Genomic DNA, 15925 nt, shown 5'->3' on the forward strand with positions numbered 1-15925 from the left:
AGCAGCCCGCTTATAAAATCGTTGGTATCCTAAACTCAGGGGTCCTTAGCTGTTACACAAAGCTACCCAGCACCGACTTGGGCTGTTTCACAGCATCCATTTGGCATTTGGAGGGCAAGAAGAACTAACAAAGACATGCAGTTCATGCTGCCTAATACGTCATGAATGAGAAAGTCTTACGTCTGATTCGGGAGTCTCATGTTTCTAGTACCTTCTCTGAAACTTGTTAATTTGCAAGTAGGGTAAAAGGTAGGATCTCAGACACTTCACAATTCTTGATAATTAACATTAAGTTTTTGTCTATAATGTCCTCATTGTAAATACAGTATAAGCTGTATATGAAGTCACTTAAACATTTGTGTATACATATTTTTGTGTATTCCTTTTTTCATATAAAGGGCTATTAAATTTTATATTCATAAAATTCCTCATGTCTTTAGTATATAGCTACAACTTAGTTAACACACTGATGTACCTATCAAGAAACAGAACATTACCAAGCCCTCTGGAAAACCCCTTTGTTCACTTCTAGTTACAAATCCGCCATCAAAGATAATGACTGCCTGAACTTAAAACATCATAGATTAATTGTGCCATCTTTTTACTATATTACATATAGGTGCAATTATTGAACAGGTTAGCTTCAAAGTAACCACTTTGACCACCACAGATCCTTCACCCATGCCTGAATCTGATCCCACATGGCAGCAATTAAAAAAAAAATACTTATTAGGTCATGTTAGTTCTCTGCTCAGGATCTTTCAATGCTTTTCACCATTTTTAGCCATATATTAAAACTCATTTCTGCTGGGCGCAGTGGCTTATGCCTGTAATCCCAGCACTTTTGGAGGCCTAGGTGGGTGAATCACCTGAGGTCAGGATTTCAAGACCGGCCTGGCCAACATGGTGAAACCCCGTCTCTACTAAAAATACAAAAATTAGGTGGGCATGGCGGCACATTCCTGTAATCCCAGCTACTTGGGAGGCTGAAGGAGGAGAATTGCTTGAACCCAGGAGGCAGAGGTTGCAGTGAGCTGAAATCGTGCTGCTGCACTCCAGCCTGGGCAATAGAGTGAGACTCCATCTCACAAAAACAAAAACAAACAAACAAACAAACAAAACTCTTTTCCTTGGCTTATAAGGCCCCACAAGATCTTCCGAAGGACTCATCTCCTATTTCCCTTATTCCTCACTACACTACCAGCTTTATCATTTCTCTTGCTTTATCTTTTCCTCGTAGTACACAGTGTCTCCTGACATTCCTCTATAGACATTAATTTGGTTATAAGCCATCTATTTCAGTGGAATGTAAGCACCATGAGAGTCTATGCTGGATGTTTTTGTGAGGTATTTGTGGATGAGATTAACATTTGAATTGGTAGAATGAGCAGGCAGATTGCCTGTTGCAATGTGAGTGGCCATCGTTTAATCAGCTGAAGGCTTGAATAAAACAAAAAACCTGAGAAAGAAGACTCTCTCTGCCTATCTTTGAACTGGGATATTGAATTATTTCCTGCCTTTGGACTCTAACTGAAACACTGATCAGCTCTTCCTGGGTTTTGAGTTTACCAGCCTTTGGACTGGAACTACATCAGCTCTCCTTGTTCTCAGGTCTTCAGACTTTGAAATATAGCTAAACCATTGGCTCTCTTGGGTCTCTAGCCTGACAATTCATCCTAAATATCTGGGGAGTTCTTAGCTTAGATAATCACGTGAGCCAATTCCTTAAAATAAATCCATATGTGCTATAGAAAAAATGTTTGTGTCTCCCCCAGAATTGATACATTGATATCCTAACATCTAACATGATGGTATTAGGAGGTGGGGCTTGTGGTAGGTATAGGTCAATGAATAGGATAAATGCCCTTATAGAAGAGAACTTGGAGATCTCCCTCATTCCTTCTGCTATGTGAGCACCTAGTAAGAAGACAGTCATCTATGAACAAAGAAGGGGCGTCTCACCTGACACCAAATCTGTCTATGTCTTGATCTTGGCCTTCCCAGCCTCCAGTGCTGTGAGAAATAAATCTGTTGTTAGTAAACCACCTAGTCTATGGTAGTTTGCTATAGCAGTCCCCAAAACTAAGACTATAGTCAGATATTATGTATCCTTTTGGTTCTTTTTCTATGAAAAAGTCTGACTAATTCGGGAAGTCAAGATGACAAATCCAAAGTTTAGTATTAGCAACTGGGTATGTAGTCGTTCGATTTATTTTGAGGTCTAGAAAGCCAGAGAAAAAGGAATTGAAAGACAAAAATTCCATCTGAGATATCTCAGGTTTTAGATGGTTATAAGGCATACAGATGATTGATTTTTGTTTTTTCCTTATTCTATTTTAAAACTTTGAAAAGAAAAATGTGTTGCCTTTGTATTCTGCTCTGTCCTACGCGATTTTGCAGTAATACAGTTAATCCTCATAACAACCAGACAAATGAGACCTAATTGTTTTCCTGATTTTAAAGATGAGAACATAAATATTGAAATGTCTTGGTCAGACAAGGTCAACCACATTAGGAAATGGCAGCATTAGAATCTGAGCCAAGCTTTCTTTTATGCCAAAGTGTAGCATTTAAACAATAAGGTACATTATTTCGTTTCCTTGAGTTTTTTAATTTTTAAAAAAGTTTTGTAATTTTTTTATTTTTTATTTTATTTTTTATTTTTTTTCTGGGATGGAGTCTCGCTCTGTCTCCCAGGCTGGAGTGCAGCGGTGCGATCTCAGCTCACTGCAACCTCAGCCTCCCAGGATCAAGCAATTCTCCTGCCTCAGCCTCCCCAGTAGCTGGGATTACAGCGCGCGCCAACACTCCCTGCTGATTATTATTATTATTATTATTTTATTTTATTTCATTTTTTTTGAGACAGAGTCTCGCTTCGTCGCCAGGCTGCAGTGCAGTGGCAGGATCTTGGCTCACTGCAATCTCAGCCTCTCGGGTAGCTGGGATCACATGCGTGGGCCACCACGCCCAGCCAATTTTTTGTATTTTTAGTGGAAACACGGTTTCAGCGTGTTAGCCAGGATGGTCTCAAAGTGCTGATCTCAGTGATCCGCACGACTCGGCCTCCCAAAGTGCTGGGATTACAGGCGTGAGCCACCATGCCCGGCCTTGCTTATTTTTTTCAAAACCAGCTTACTTCCTGAGGTCTGTGCATGCCCTTGCCATCTCATCCTACTGTTTGTTGTTGTTGTTTTAACCTCTAACTTCCTTTTTTCATGAGTTACACATTTTATTGCACATAATCAGGAGCAAAAATGATGGCATGTGGTCTTTGGAAGCAGGTCCTTCAGTGCCTTTTTCCTCTTTATGTTGCTTTCCTTCTTCCTTTACTTACATTTATTTATTAATTTATTTCAGTTAATGTATGGATCCCATACTCTATTAATCTTCTTAAATTTATCTTTCCCTGGATCTGATCTTCACATGGGTGAGGATCTTTGAATGTATGGAGGCATTTTTTATTTTTTCCTCCTTATCACTCTGGGCCATAAAGCTCTGCTTCTTTCAGAACATGTGCATGAGATATTTATACAGCTCTTCAGCTAAGGTTACTAATATGCAGCCCTGTGATGCCACCAGTTATAATTCTATTACTGCATTATTACTCTTTCAATTAAAAAGAAATAGTAGAAAAACAAAGCAAACAAACAAACAAAAGGCAAAATAATTGCATTTCAGAGGATGTCTGTTCCTGTGTAAGGTGCACCTGTCCTTGCTTCAAGGGGAGTGGGTTACTTTTTTTTAAGTTTTTATATTTTCAAGATTCGGGGTTTGATACAACCATTTTTTTTTTTAACTTTAAATTCTGGGATACATGTGCTAAACATGCAGGTGTGTCACATAGGTATACATGTACCATGGTGGTTTGCTGTACCTATCAACCTGTCATCTAGGTTTTAAGATCCACATGCATTAGGTATTTGTCCTAATGCTCTCCCTCCCCTTGTCCCCCACTCCCCGACAGGCCTCGGTGTATGATGTTCCCCTCCCTGTGTCCATTTGTTCTCACTGTTCAGCTCCCACTTATGAGTGAGAACATGTGCTGTTTGGTTTTCTGTTTCTGTGTTAGTTTGCTGAGAATGATGGTTTCCAGCTTCATTCATGTCCCTGCAAAAGACATTAATTCTTTCTTTTTAATGGCTGCATAGTATTCCATGGTATATATGTGCCACATTTTCTTTATCCAGTCTATCATTGATGGGCATTTGGACAACCATATTTTTTGTTGAGTTTTGTTTCTTTAGCGGCTTAGCCGTCTCTGCTGGTTTTAGTTAGTTCCAGCTGAGTCAATGGCTCATCTTAGACTGCACTTCTACCACCAACCTCTGCAAGTAAATACTCCATAGGACTTCTGGCCTAGACCTGAGGTTGCCATGGATTCATATTGAGCAAGTGAGTTCCATGTACACATCCCAGTGTTTCCTCAAGTAGCCTGCACGCCCTGTCTCCACCCTCAGTTTAAGAACACCATTGAGGTTTTTGAGATGTTCTTCTTACTTTCTGCCAAAGCAAGATATCTGATAGAAGGAGAAACCCTGTATTGACTCCCTCGCTTTTTGTTTATTCCAAAATTATGCTCTGTCTGGCTGACACATTGTGAAATTTAAGGGGAAAATTAGACCTTTTCCTCATTTCACTTTCATTGTTTTTTTTTTTTTAAATCTATTGTGTATTTCATTCATTTTGGGGGGGGGACAAATTCTACAAACTGCTTTAATATTGTCCTTTTTTTCTAATATTCACATTAACTTTTTGTGTAAAACATACCAATGCTTTTAATAAAGCTTACATAGGAGTAAACTATTATAGACCTGCATATATATAAGTACACATGTATTAATCTACATTAAAATAATGGATTTTATTCTGTGAAGACTCCAAGTTGCTCCTGGGTGCTAAGTGAAGCACTTAGGGAAATGTGTTCAGTCTTTGAGGTCATAGGAACATTAGATTATATCAAAGGAAACCTGGAGTCATCAGCTAAGTGGCCCTTCTGTCCTGTAGATACATAAAAACTAATGTGCTCTGCTATGCGGCTCACTTTCTGCTATTAGATATTATGAGGCACTAAGAAAAAACTACTGCCTGCATCATACCTTTCTTCGGTTTGAGATAAAGAGATTGGCCAGAACTGTATACAAGTCATGAAAGGCCCTGGTGTACATTTTTCAAAGTAGTGCAGATTGTGTTGAAATTATCAGTTTATCTTGCATATAAAAAAAACTTATATACACTTTGAGTAAAATATAAAAAGTGGTAAATATCAGGAAAAGTTTGTTTTACTATAGCCATTTCTTGTTCTATTCTATTTGAGTATTTGCTCTATATATTTGATATACTTCCAGAATGCATCCTATTCACAAAGCAGGCAATTACTCTATCAGTGAATACAGTTGCAGAGTCTCTCATCTATTCAGCTTCATTTGTACCTCCACTCCAGCCACTTGCAGAAATGGCGGATGCATCAAAAAGACTGGTTACAGGCCTTGCAACCTCCAAGCGGCTAATTACCAAGATGTTAAGTAAATGACCATTGCTCTTTATCATCCCCAATGGCGTATAAAAAGGATGTTAAACAGGTTCTCTCATGTTCCCCATACATTTATTCATTCCCGTGTTAAAATACGTCTTATGGGAAAAACAAAATTCACCAAAGAATGAGGAAGCGAACATGTGTTAAAAGAGGGACTTCTGGCTAATTTTACAAAGAAGGATAAAAATTCTCAAAATATGTGTGGGGTGGATTGTGGGGGTATTACATATTCATAGCATGCCGCAGAAATCATTTTAAGTCTATCAAAAACAACTATATTGTGCATTTTCAAATAAGCACATATAAAAGATGAGCTATAAGAAGAGAGAAGGATGCTAAAATAAATAAGTGAAAGAGAAAAATGGCTGGGCACGGTGGCTCAAGCCTGTAATCCCAGCACTTTGGGGGGCCGAGAGGTCAGGAGTTCAAGACCAGCCTGGCCAACATGGTGAAACCTGGTCTCTACAAAAATACAAAAATTAGCTGGGCATGTTGGCTCATGCCTGTCATCCCAGCTACTCGGGAGGCTGAGACAGGAGAATCCCTTGAACCTGGGAGGCGGAGGTTGCAGTGTGCCAAGACCGCATCATTGCACTCCAGCCTGGACAACAAGAGTGGAACTCCATCTCGAAAAAAAAAAAAAAAAGAGAAAAGTAGGTGAAAAGAAGTAATTAAATGGTAAGGAAAGAATAGGTCAGGACAGGAATCCAGGATGACTTTACTATATTTGAACCATAGAACATTAACCAAAATCTTATTTTTCTTCCCCTCAGTAGTTTGAAGTTGAGCAATATCTGTGTCTTTTGCATCACATTCTGAAATTGCAAATTATTTCTTGTCCTTTCAGATAAATGATTATGCAAAAGAAGCCCAGAACTGGCACAATTTAGAAGATTTGAGGTTGCTCTCATGTGTTTGTAGGGTATGCTATCATCATCCCATAGCCTAAGGCTGTAGTACTGGACTCTCTGGAAGCAGCTCTGAATGTGATAGGATGGAGATAATTGAAGATACAAGCAGCCATTATGTGTCTGAATATTGGTTTACTAGAAGAGCTAGATGTGTAGGAGCACATCCTTACTTGACAAATGTCTGACAGAATGACCTGGCACCATTACTGTTTTAAATGTGTAATATGCTATCTCAACTGGGACATTTTATGAAAGCTATAGGTTGTGACCTACTGTTCATTACACTTAGTTTCTGAGGTGCCAAAGATTGATGTGTGAGCCAAAGTTCATTATTGTTCTTCACTGGATCTTTGCATTTATTAGTCTGATGCTAATGGGATTCACTCTTGAGTTGGATTGATGGTCAAGGTTAGAGCCACAGATGAGCTCCTGATCTTGACCAGAAATGATTTGCCCATTGCCAATTAGAAGAAGAAAAGGGCAAGGTGGAGGTTGAACTTGGAGTTAATAGGAATAATAGATGCTGAGGGTGCAAGATGAAACTCAGTAAGATAATACACTCTATTCTTAGACTGGCAAATTTACATAGTAGAGAGAACTTTTATCATTGTCATCCAAAGAAAATATAATCCTAAGAGAAAAAGTCCAGCTAGTTTTTTTTTTCTTTTTTGTTACCTGCTCATAGGATATAAACTTATTTCTATCACACATAGGTATCATTTTCTACACTTAAAACACTTCTTCTATTTCACACAAATGACAAAAAATGTCCTTCAATTATTTTGACACATGATCTCTCAAGATACATATCCTTTTATATCAACTATAAGTACAAATTTAAAATTTTGATAAAAGAGAAATAACAGGAATAAAACAAAGCAGTATTTTTTAAAACTATAGCTGTTCCCCTAAGATATTCTCACACTAAAGAATTTTTCCCACTTCTTCTCCCCCACTGAGAAGTACAGTCTTCAAAAATTAGTCCAGGTATTAGTGTTTACCAAGGAGGAATATTTGGAACAAGAATAATCTGATGCTACTTTTCATTTGTCAAGTACATTTTCTAAATTATATTCTAATAAGACAGAATATGCACATTTGCATGTCATGATTCTTACAAATATTTACTGAGTACTGTCTCCCTGTAAAGAGCTACAGTGGGATGGATTTAAGATATATGATACATAATTTTTCATCTTCAAATTGTTCACATTTTGTAGAGATAGTAACTTGTGCATAAATGACTAGAATGTTAAGTTGCTAAGTGACAAGTGACAAAAACGTTTAACCTGTAAAATCTTCCCCTTGGGAAATTGAGGAATAAAAACTTCCAACTAAAGGAACAAAGATTGTCATGAACAAAGTTGTATAAAAAATAAATTAAATGTAGGATAATAAAGGTAGTGTATTAAAGTGAGAAGGGTTAGGATTTCTTAGGTGACAGACTGGCTTGATTTTGTGACTTGTGTGACGGTAGCAAGTTATGTAACACCTCTGAGTTTCCATATCTTCATCTGTGAAGTAGACATAGCTGAACCAACCACATGGAATTGTTGCAAGGGTGAAATGCAATGGTGTGTGCAAGTTGCTAGGCAGTGTTGGACTGGATCTACTATTACACTATACAAATGACACTTAGAATTTTTACAGTTATGCTTAATATTGTCATAATTCCAGGAAATGAGAAAAATCTCAGCAGAGGTACAAAACGGGCAAGCTCTGGGCAAAATGATCTTAGTGGGTTTATTTCAAAGGATGCTTGAAAGTGATCTGTGGAAAACAAAATTGACAAAAAGTGCATGTTGAAATGGAAATTAACAGGTCTTTGAATGTTAAGACAAAGATAGCGGGCATGCTCTTTCATCTATCTATCCCTGGCCCTTAGCACACCTGGTGCTTTTCAGTGCTCCAGCTTTACGTGTTTAATCGTTTTTTTTCATTCGAAATAAATTTTCTCATAGATATAGAAAACCAGCAGGCAATAAAATATATATTCTGAGCTGTGATTTAGTGGTATTATTACTTAGCAACAGTGTGTAGGATGAATTACAGAAAGCAAAAGTAGGGCATAATTATAATCACTAAGACTAATTATCAATATAAACTTTTGCCAGAATAATTGTAAAGATATGGAGAGGTGATGCACATGAAAAACACATTAAAAAATCCTAAGATTTTGCCAAAATAAGCTGTGTAATAAAACAAAGAGAGAAGAAATTGAAGAATATGATGAAGTTTAAATTGAAGTTCAAGGTGTTTTGCATGAAGAAAGATGAGAAATTTAAATTTGAGATATGATGAGTTTATGGTAGGAAATTGAGATACCATATTTTGCCAGTTGGACTAGACCTCACAAAAATACTCAAAATAAGTATGCAGAACGCATTAGTTTAGATATATTTGAAGAGACCATGGGAAAAAAGGAAAAAGGGAGGAGTTTAAAGAGTCAAACAAAAAGATGATGGAAAGGCAGTGGGAGACATAAAAGGGAACCAGAAATCTTAAGAGGAGAAAGTGTTCTGAAGAAACACACAAAGTCAATTACTTAAAAAGTTGAGAATCACTGGCAGTGCTGGATGATCGTGACTTTTTTCTCTATTTCAGTAAGGGGGTGATGGACATTAGAATGCAAGAGATGGATGAGGTATGGAAGTAGAAGGAATAAATGTCAACTATTATTTTAAAAAATTTGCACAGAAGAAGCAAAGTAGGATAAGAGCTTAAAAATAAAGGTTCTGTTTATTTTCATTTTTTAGTCATAGGGAAAATGTGGGCATGTTAAAAGAAAAGCTGAATGTAAAAAGGGAATGAGAGGACAAATTGAAATAGACATGGGTTCAAATCCCAGATCCCACTGGACATCTCTGAGGCTTACTAGACATCATCTGTAAATATAAGATAAACACCTAATATAAAATGTGTTCAGCTATAAGAAGTTTGAGTTAGTGTATATGATTTTTAGAAAATCAATTTATCATATACAATAAAACATATATTAAATTAGACAGTATGATGCATATTGACAATTGTATATCCCCTGCACATTTCCATCATATATGAAAACTTCTCACATGCCCTCACCATCTCAATCCCTGATCACAGGCAACCACTGATGGAGGTTCTGTCATTATGTACAGGATATATCTTTTCTAAATTTTGTATAAGTGACATCATACATGTGCATTATTTTGTTTCTGTCTTCTTTATCTCAGCATCTTGTTTTTTGAAATTTGTTCTTATTGAGTACATCAGTGGTCAGCTCCTTATTATTGCTTAGTGTATCTCATTTTAGGAATAATGTTCATTGAATTTATCCATTTTATCCATTATAATTTTGAGGGAAATTTGGGGTTTTTCCAGTTTGGGGCTAATATTAAAGCTGCTATGAACATTCATGTACAACTCTATGTATAGATATGTCTAACTGTCAGCTTCTATATAAACATTTTAAAAATCACTATCTCTAAGAAAACTAGGAAATCAAACATCTGGAATTCGGCATTGGCTACCAATTGTAGATGAAACATACTTTTTCAATGATTTAGACACAACTGTCACAGCTTACAAAATGCATCTTCACCAATTAGTTACCTAGTTAGGCTCTGCAGACTTAATTGTTTATCTCTGACCATAGTCCTAACCCAACTTGGCTCCATAGTTGCTGGGATAAGATAGATTGATTTTAGCTATTGGTATCAGTATTCTACTTCCCCACATGCCTATCGAAAAATGCTCTTAGAGTTTTAGAACTGGAATGGCAAAATTTATTTCCTGAGTGATTAAATGGCTCCACTCCTACTATTCTAGGTCACCTTGTTCCTTGTTGAGAGATAGCCACATCCTGAATGTGGCTCTTTTCTCTCAGCTTTGCACACACTGTCAATAGGCAAATCTCAGTTGCAAGAAACTCTTTAGGTAGAATGGAAGTATTTTTCTTTCTGCTACATGAAACCTGAAGGAAGTATTCTCAGATTATCCAGACCTAAGGAAGGATACATTCATCTATAGCTCCCTCTCAATTTACAGAAATGTTTGGTTGGTAGAGAGTCTTGCCTAAGTATTTAATCTGGCCCAAGGTAAAGAAATACTGCAACCTCAGATCTACTGGCCAAGGGGAGCTGGGTTGTTTTGAAAGGCACTGTAATGTGCCCCCTTTTTCTTACACAGCAGTGGGCATGATTAGGAGGCAAAAAGCTATGGAAAGGAAAACTTAAGTTCTTCCTTATAAGAATTTAAAACGTGTATCTCCATGGAGGGCCTGCAAAGTCTTTATAGGATATTTTGCCTTTGGGAACTTCTTTTTTTATACTACTATTTCAATCTCCTCACCTCCCTCTCTGTCTCTATTTCTAATTAGATAGATCACAGATACAGGTATAGATAAACATAGATATATAGATGGAAGGCCTTGATTGGAAGTGCTACAACCTCCTTCCACTGTTGAGTGGAAGCACCTGCTTGAGGGATGTACCAGTTTAGTTAGGAGGAGGAAATGAGGAGGAGAGTCTGATGGAGGAAAAAAATAAAATGTTCTGAAGTGATTGAGAGCACAGAGAGTTTCGAATAGACCTGCAAACAGGGGGCCCTTGCTAGGAACTAGGGCAAATCCATGAAGTGACTTTGCTGTTGTGTTTACATTATTTGTCTTTTTCCATTAGATACTTGCCACAGTTATATTACGCATCCACGATTTTAAGATGTTGCTGTTTTGGGATGCATTGTTTTATTTCCCCCGAGAACACAGCAGCCTTGTGCAAGAGGCATTGTGCATGACTAGGAGAGGAAGAAATAACAAACTCCTTAAGAACAACAGGAGGGGGAAACGGGGAGTAGTTGTTTAGACAACTAATAGTCAATTTCCAGGCCTTGCCAGGTCAGGAAAGGAAAATCCCTAGGTGGGGTTCATACCTGTAGTCAAATACAAGTAAAACCAAAAGGTAGGGCCTAATCCAGGCACATTTATTTTTCCCCAAATACTTTCAAAAAGAGAGACCACTGAAGGAGTGAGGGAGTCTCAGGGTTTTAGGCTACATATGCTTTTCATCCACCTTGTCTATGCAACTCGGGTCCAGGATTCCTTCCAGCCATCACTAACTGAACCAAATTCCAAGGAGCCACTGCCTCACATTGCCATGCTCCGTGTTTTGCACAGAGGCTTCAGTTTTGATCAAACATGTTTTGTTTTCGATTATCACACATTCCACTCCAAAACTAAATATTATTTCCCGAAAATAATTTGTCATTTTAGAAACTGATACAACTCTGAAATGATTTTATCTGTTTGAATACTTTGATGATCATCTCAGACACATAAGCAGAAATTTAACATAAAGAGTTAAAGATTGATAATAAATAAAATTGTTTTTCAGATTCATTGAAACATTCTCAATTTTTCTTCTATAAGAAATGAGTAAAATTGATTTTGTTATTTAATATTTCTAGAGGTGCTTATTTTAACTAGTATCTTATAACTAGAAGGTATCTGGGTCTTCAAAAGAATTTCATAGCATACCTTTGATCATTTAACTTGGCAAGTTTGTCTTTCAGAATATGTTGTAGTCAGATAGTCGAGAATGATCATTAGTGAATTCTCATATCCATCCATCTATTTCAAGTTGTACTTTGCCCTAAATCCAGTTCAGAAATCTGTGGGAAAATTTAGCACTTCTGAAATTTTAGAAACTAGTTAAAAGGGATTGAATTCAGCCTTTCTGAGGCACTGAAGATAAAACTTAGACTCATATTTGTAATTCAACCCAAATGACAAATTTTTCAGTTACAAATTTTAATCTAGTTTTTAACTACCTCATGAAATTTTTACCAGTAAGTTCTAAATAAAATAATTCAAAAATCTGATTGTCAGAACCACTGCAATTTCTCTATTATGAATGTATTTACAAGTCATCCTGCATGTAAAAGAAGCAATTTCATGTGGATAAGTAAAATGGTTAAATTTGTTTATATTCTATACATCTATACATAATTACGTGTACATATACATAATTAAACTTATACCCTTGTTGATGGTGAACAGTTAAAGTATGCTAGTCTTCACTTAATCATGTTATTTTAATTCAGCATAAAAGATAGTTACAGTAGTTATCTAACTAGTTAATTTGATTTTTTTCGGTTATTCTTATCCACAAGTAAGGCTTTTAGATAGATTTGAAATGGGATAATGGTGGAAGATGAGGAACTACCACTGATCAAGTAGCCATATTAGCAATGATGCAGTTTGCACAGGGAAAACAAGAAGGAACAAATAAGCAAATGGGAGAAGAATTACAGAGAACAGTACCCAAGATGCTTCAGTTCAGATAATATTTTGTTTCATTATGAGAGTCTGCACTTAATTTTCCACCAGTTTACCAAGCTAGCGTGACCATCATGACCTTGTACCATCTTCAGATTCCATGAATGGTAGATGAAGAGTTCTACCCATCACTTCTAATAGGCAAAGATAGCACATGTCTACATGCACTGATTTGGAAGAAGGACAAGGCTAGAGATGGTGAGCGTTCCGCTTGAGCTATGGGCTATTAGCTTGTGGTAAACATGACTTAATAGTCAGTGATATGGACTTCACTGGCAGGTCTCATTCAAATAATCCCACAGTTCTTCTACTTCTTAATATAATATTTTCTAGGATAGCGGGTGGGGTGTAGTTGGGTGATCCATCAGGTGAGTTGAGAAGAGGAATGTGATAGGAACTTTTGTCACTGTTGGAAAGTGCGTGGGTGGTGACATTGAATAGATTCACTCAGGGAGACAAGTTAGCATATCTTTCATCTTTTTATAAGCAGCTGAGTAGAAAGAAATTGAGCAGCAGGAAAGGAGGGACAGGATACAAGAAAGTGTCTTTTCTTCCTCTCCATTCTTACAATGTCCTGATTCTTCAGCCCAGAGCTTTAAATATTTTTGTAACTACTTTCTTGGGGAACTGTCATGTTAACAGTAATTTTGTATATATTGAGCTCCTAAAGCTATGGATGCTTTATAAAGCTACAATGTAAATTTATTTCTCTCCATAATCCCTGTCACTTTCCCTGTCTCCACATAAAAAGCAAGAGACTTAACATTTCATTATTAATTACAGCAACAGCAAGTTGGCTGTCAGAGTCAAACCTCCACACACTCCCCCCACCAAGCTGCTGAGCTTCCAGCCATTTACTCATTAAGCTGATGATGATGGAGTTTTTAAAACCTGCTCTTTGTAATGGACAGTAGACCTTAAAAATCTGTCATAAATTGCTCAATTGAGGAAATCAAATGGCAAAGAGAGTGAACCAGTGTAAGAGCAAACAAATTGCACCATAAAAGAAAGTAGTGTCTTTAACTGAGCTTTTATTTTTACAAAGAATGTGAGAGCAACTTGGAGACTATAAGTGGATGCTGTGAGACTGTTTAACGAAGAGCAGTTATTCACATTAAAGAGGCTGAACACATAAGCAAAAAAAAAAAAAAAAGAAAGAAAATCAGACCAAACAAAAACAAAGGAACAAAACCACCTTAGAGTGTTTTTGTTTTTCAAATGATATGGTACTGCTGAGTAAAAATGACTAGGTCCATTTTTAAGTGTATTTTTTTCCTTAACATTTTAAAACCAGACTACATAAGATAAAAGCATATTTCAAGGTGAATACTGATCAAGTTAAGGATCTAAGCGTATAACAGATTTTTCTGTCATATTTCATAAGAGATTTTTCAAAATGCACATTAATTCTGATATTTTTATTCATTTATTCAGGAAATATTAATGAGGACTGTTGAAGTCAAAATAGAAATGTAAAGAGGAATCTCTAAATTTAACATTTAATTTAGAAATAAATAATTCGCAAATCAGGGCATATATTCAGACCGAGTGGTCTTCAGCATGTCTGAAGAATGAAGAGAAGGCTGGAGGTTTTACTAAAAAAAGAAATATTAATTATTGCTCTTTGAGAAAGTTCATTAGCATTGGTAAGGTTCTGGGAAGCTGGAACGTCTGACTGGTGACTGATGGTGGGTAAAGTAAGTCTTAGATTTGTAGCAGGTTTGTTTGGCAACTATTAGATAAAACAGTTGTGAGGTTACAGCAGGCACTTTCAGCAGCCAGACTTGCAGTGAATTACATTTTGGGAGAGCAATGTTTTGTGTCCTGAGTGCTTTTTGCCCCTGCCCTCTTGACTCTGTTTTCACTGGGTATGACGAGAATGCCCCAATTCAAATAATCAGCTTTCACAGTACCTATTATGGTCCAGTTCTTTTCTCAAACACTTTGGAATTGAAGAATAAACTAAACAGAAGAAAATCTGACCCTGAAGAAGAAAGTAGCAAATAAGTCATAAGTATAATGGATAGGTAAGTTATATTGCAGATTTGAAAGAAATATGTGATGAAAAATAAGAGAAGTAGAGCAGGAAAAAAGAAATTAAGATGGTAGGTGTGGTGGAAGGAGAGGAGGTAAATGCAGGCTCAACCAGAAGGTAAGAAGTCAACAAACATTTTGGAAGGTAGGAGTTATCAATATGGACAACATGGACATCTAGGGGAAGAGTTCCATGTGGAGTGAGGTTACCCTAAATAATTGAACTTGCTGGAAAAAAACACAACTCTCAATTTTACTTCATAGAAGCTCTTATAAATGAGAGCAGATGAGCTGTTACTTGTGTTGTGTCCCCAAATGAAACAGCTCATTCTAACATGGGGTAGCGTGCATCAAAGACAAATCATGCCATCTCACAATATGTATACCCACCAAGAACCTTTTGGAGACCTATATTTGGCACTAAAAATACCATTATGAAGAAGAACTTGTATGCCTAATTGCACCCATGCTTTGGTCAATCCTCAATTATATATACATTATAATCAACCACATACAAAAGTCTAATATGTGCATTTACCCTGTGATTCTGTTTTATTCATATTAATAGAAGCATGTTTCTACCACTGTGGTGTCATATTATTCAATTATTTTGAGTTTTAAATCCCAGGGACCGACTTTACCTGAGTATTGTAGCTCTAAAGTTGGAAAGAAAAAATAATGCTGATACCGTAATCAGATAGACATAAACAAAAGTGGGAAGAAATCTGCTATTGTGATGAAGCCTATATCATTTAAGACCTGAAACTTGACCAAGCAGAATAAATGAATGAATAAATAATTAAATAAATTAATAAAATGATTCTGGAATTGTAAGCAAGGGAAGATGAAATGATCAGTAGCAAATAACCAAACATGAGCTGACATCATGAAGAAAATAGCAAATTCATGAATTATTCTAAAATCGAAGCATTTGTTAGTCTTAAGTGTGAATATCTCTCTATGAAATTCTTTAATCTGGCCTTACAGTATGATTTACAAAGCACAGTTTCTATTTCTAAGAGCCTCTTACAACTCAAAACTTGCCTTACAAATTTTCTTAGAAGTAATCTTGACATCAAACACATATTGTTTGAACTTTGTTTTTCATATTTTGTACATTAATTGCCATTCACG

General features: G+C 36.6%; 1 protein-coding gene across 9 annotated transcripts in view, besides 1 other annotated feature; it reads right to left on the minus strand.

Annotated features, from left to right (window-relative positions):
* Window positions 1-15925, minus strand: part of CDH12 (cadherin 12) — a 1102672-nt gene that overhangs the window by 370643 nt on the left and 716104 nt on the right.
* Window positions 1125-1636: an enhancer, noted in NCBI's record as "OCT4-NANOG hESC enhancer chr5:22122549-22123060 (GRCh37/hg19 assembly coordinates)". NCBI's record gives its function as "activates a minimal SCP1, AML or CMV promoter by ChIP-STARR-seq in naive H9 embryonic stem cells {active_cell/tissue: H9 hESC(naive)}" and the evidence as "EXISTENCE:reporter gene assay evidence [ECO:0000049][PMID:30033119]".

This window comes from Homo sapiens, chromosome 5 (assembly GCF_000001405.40).
Source record: "Homo sapiens chromosome 5, GRCh38.p14 Primary Assembly".
In the NCBI taxonomy this organism is placed as follows: domain Eukaryota; kingdom Metazoa; phylum Chordata; class Mammalia; order Primates; family Hominidae; genus Homo; species Homo sapiens.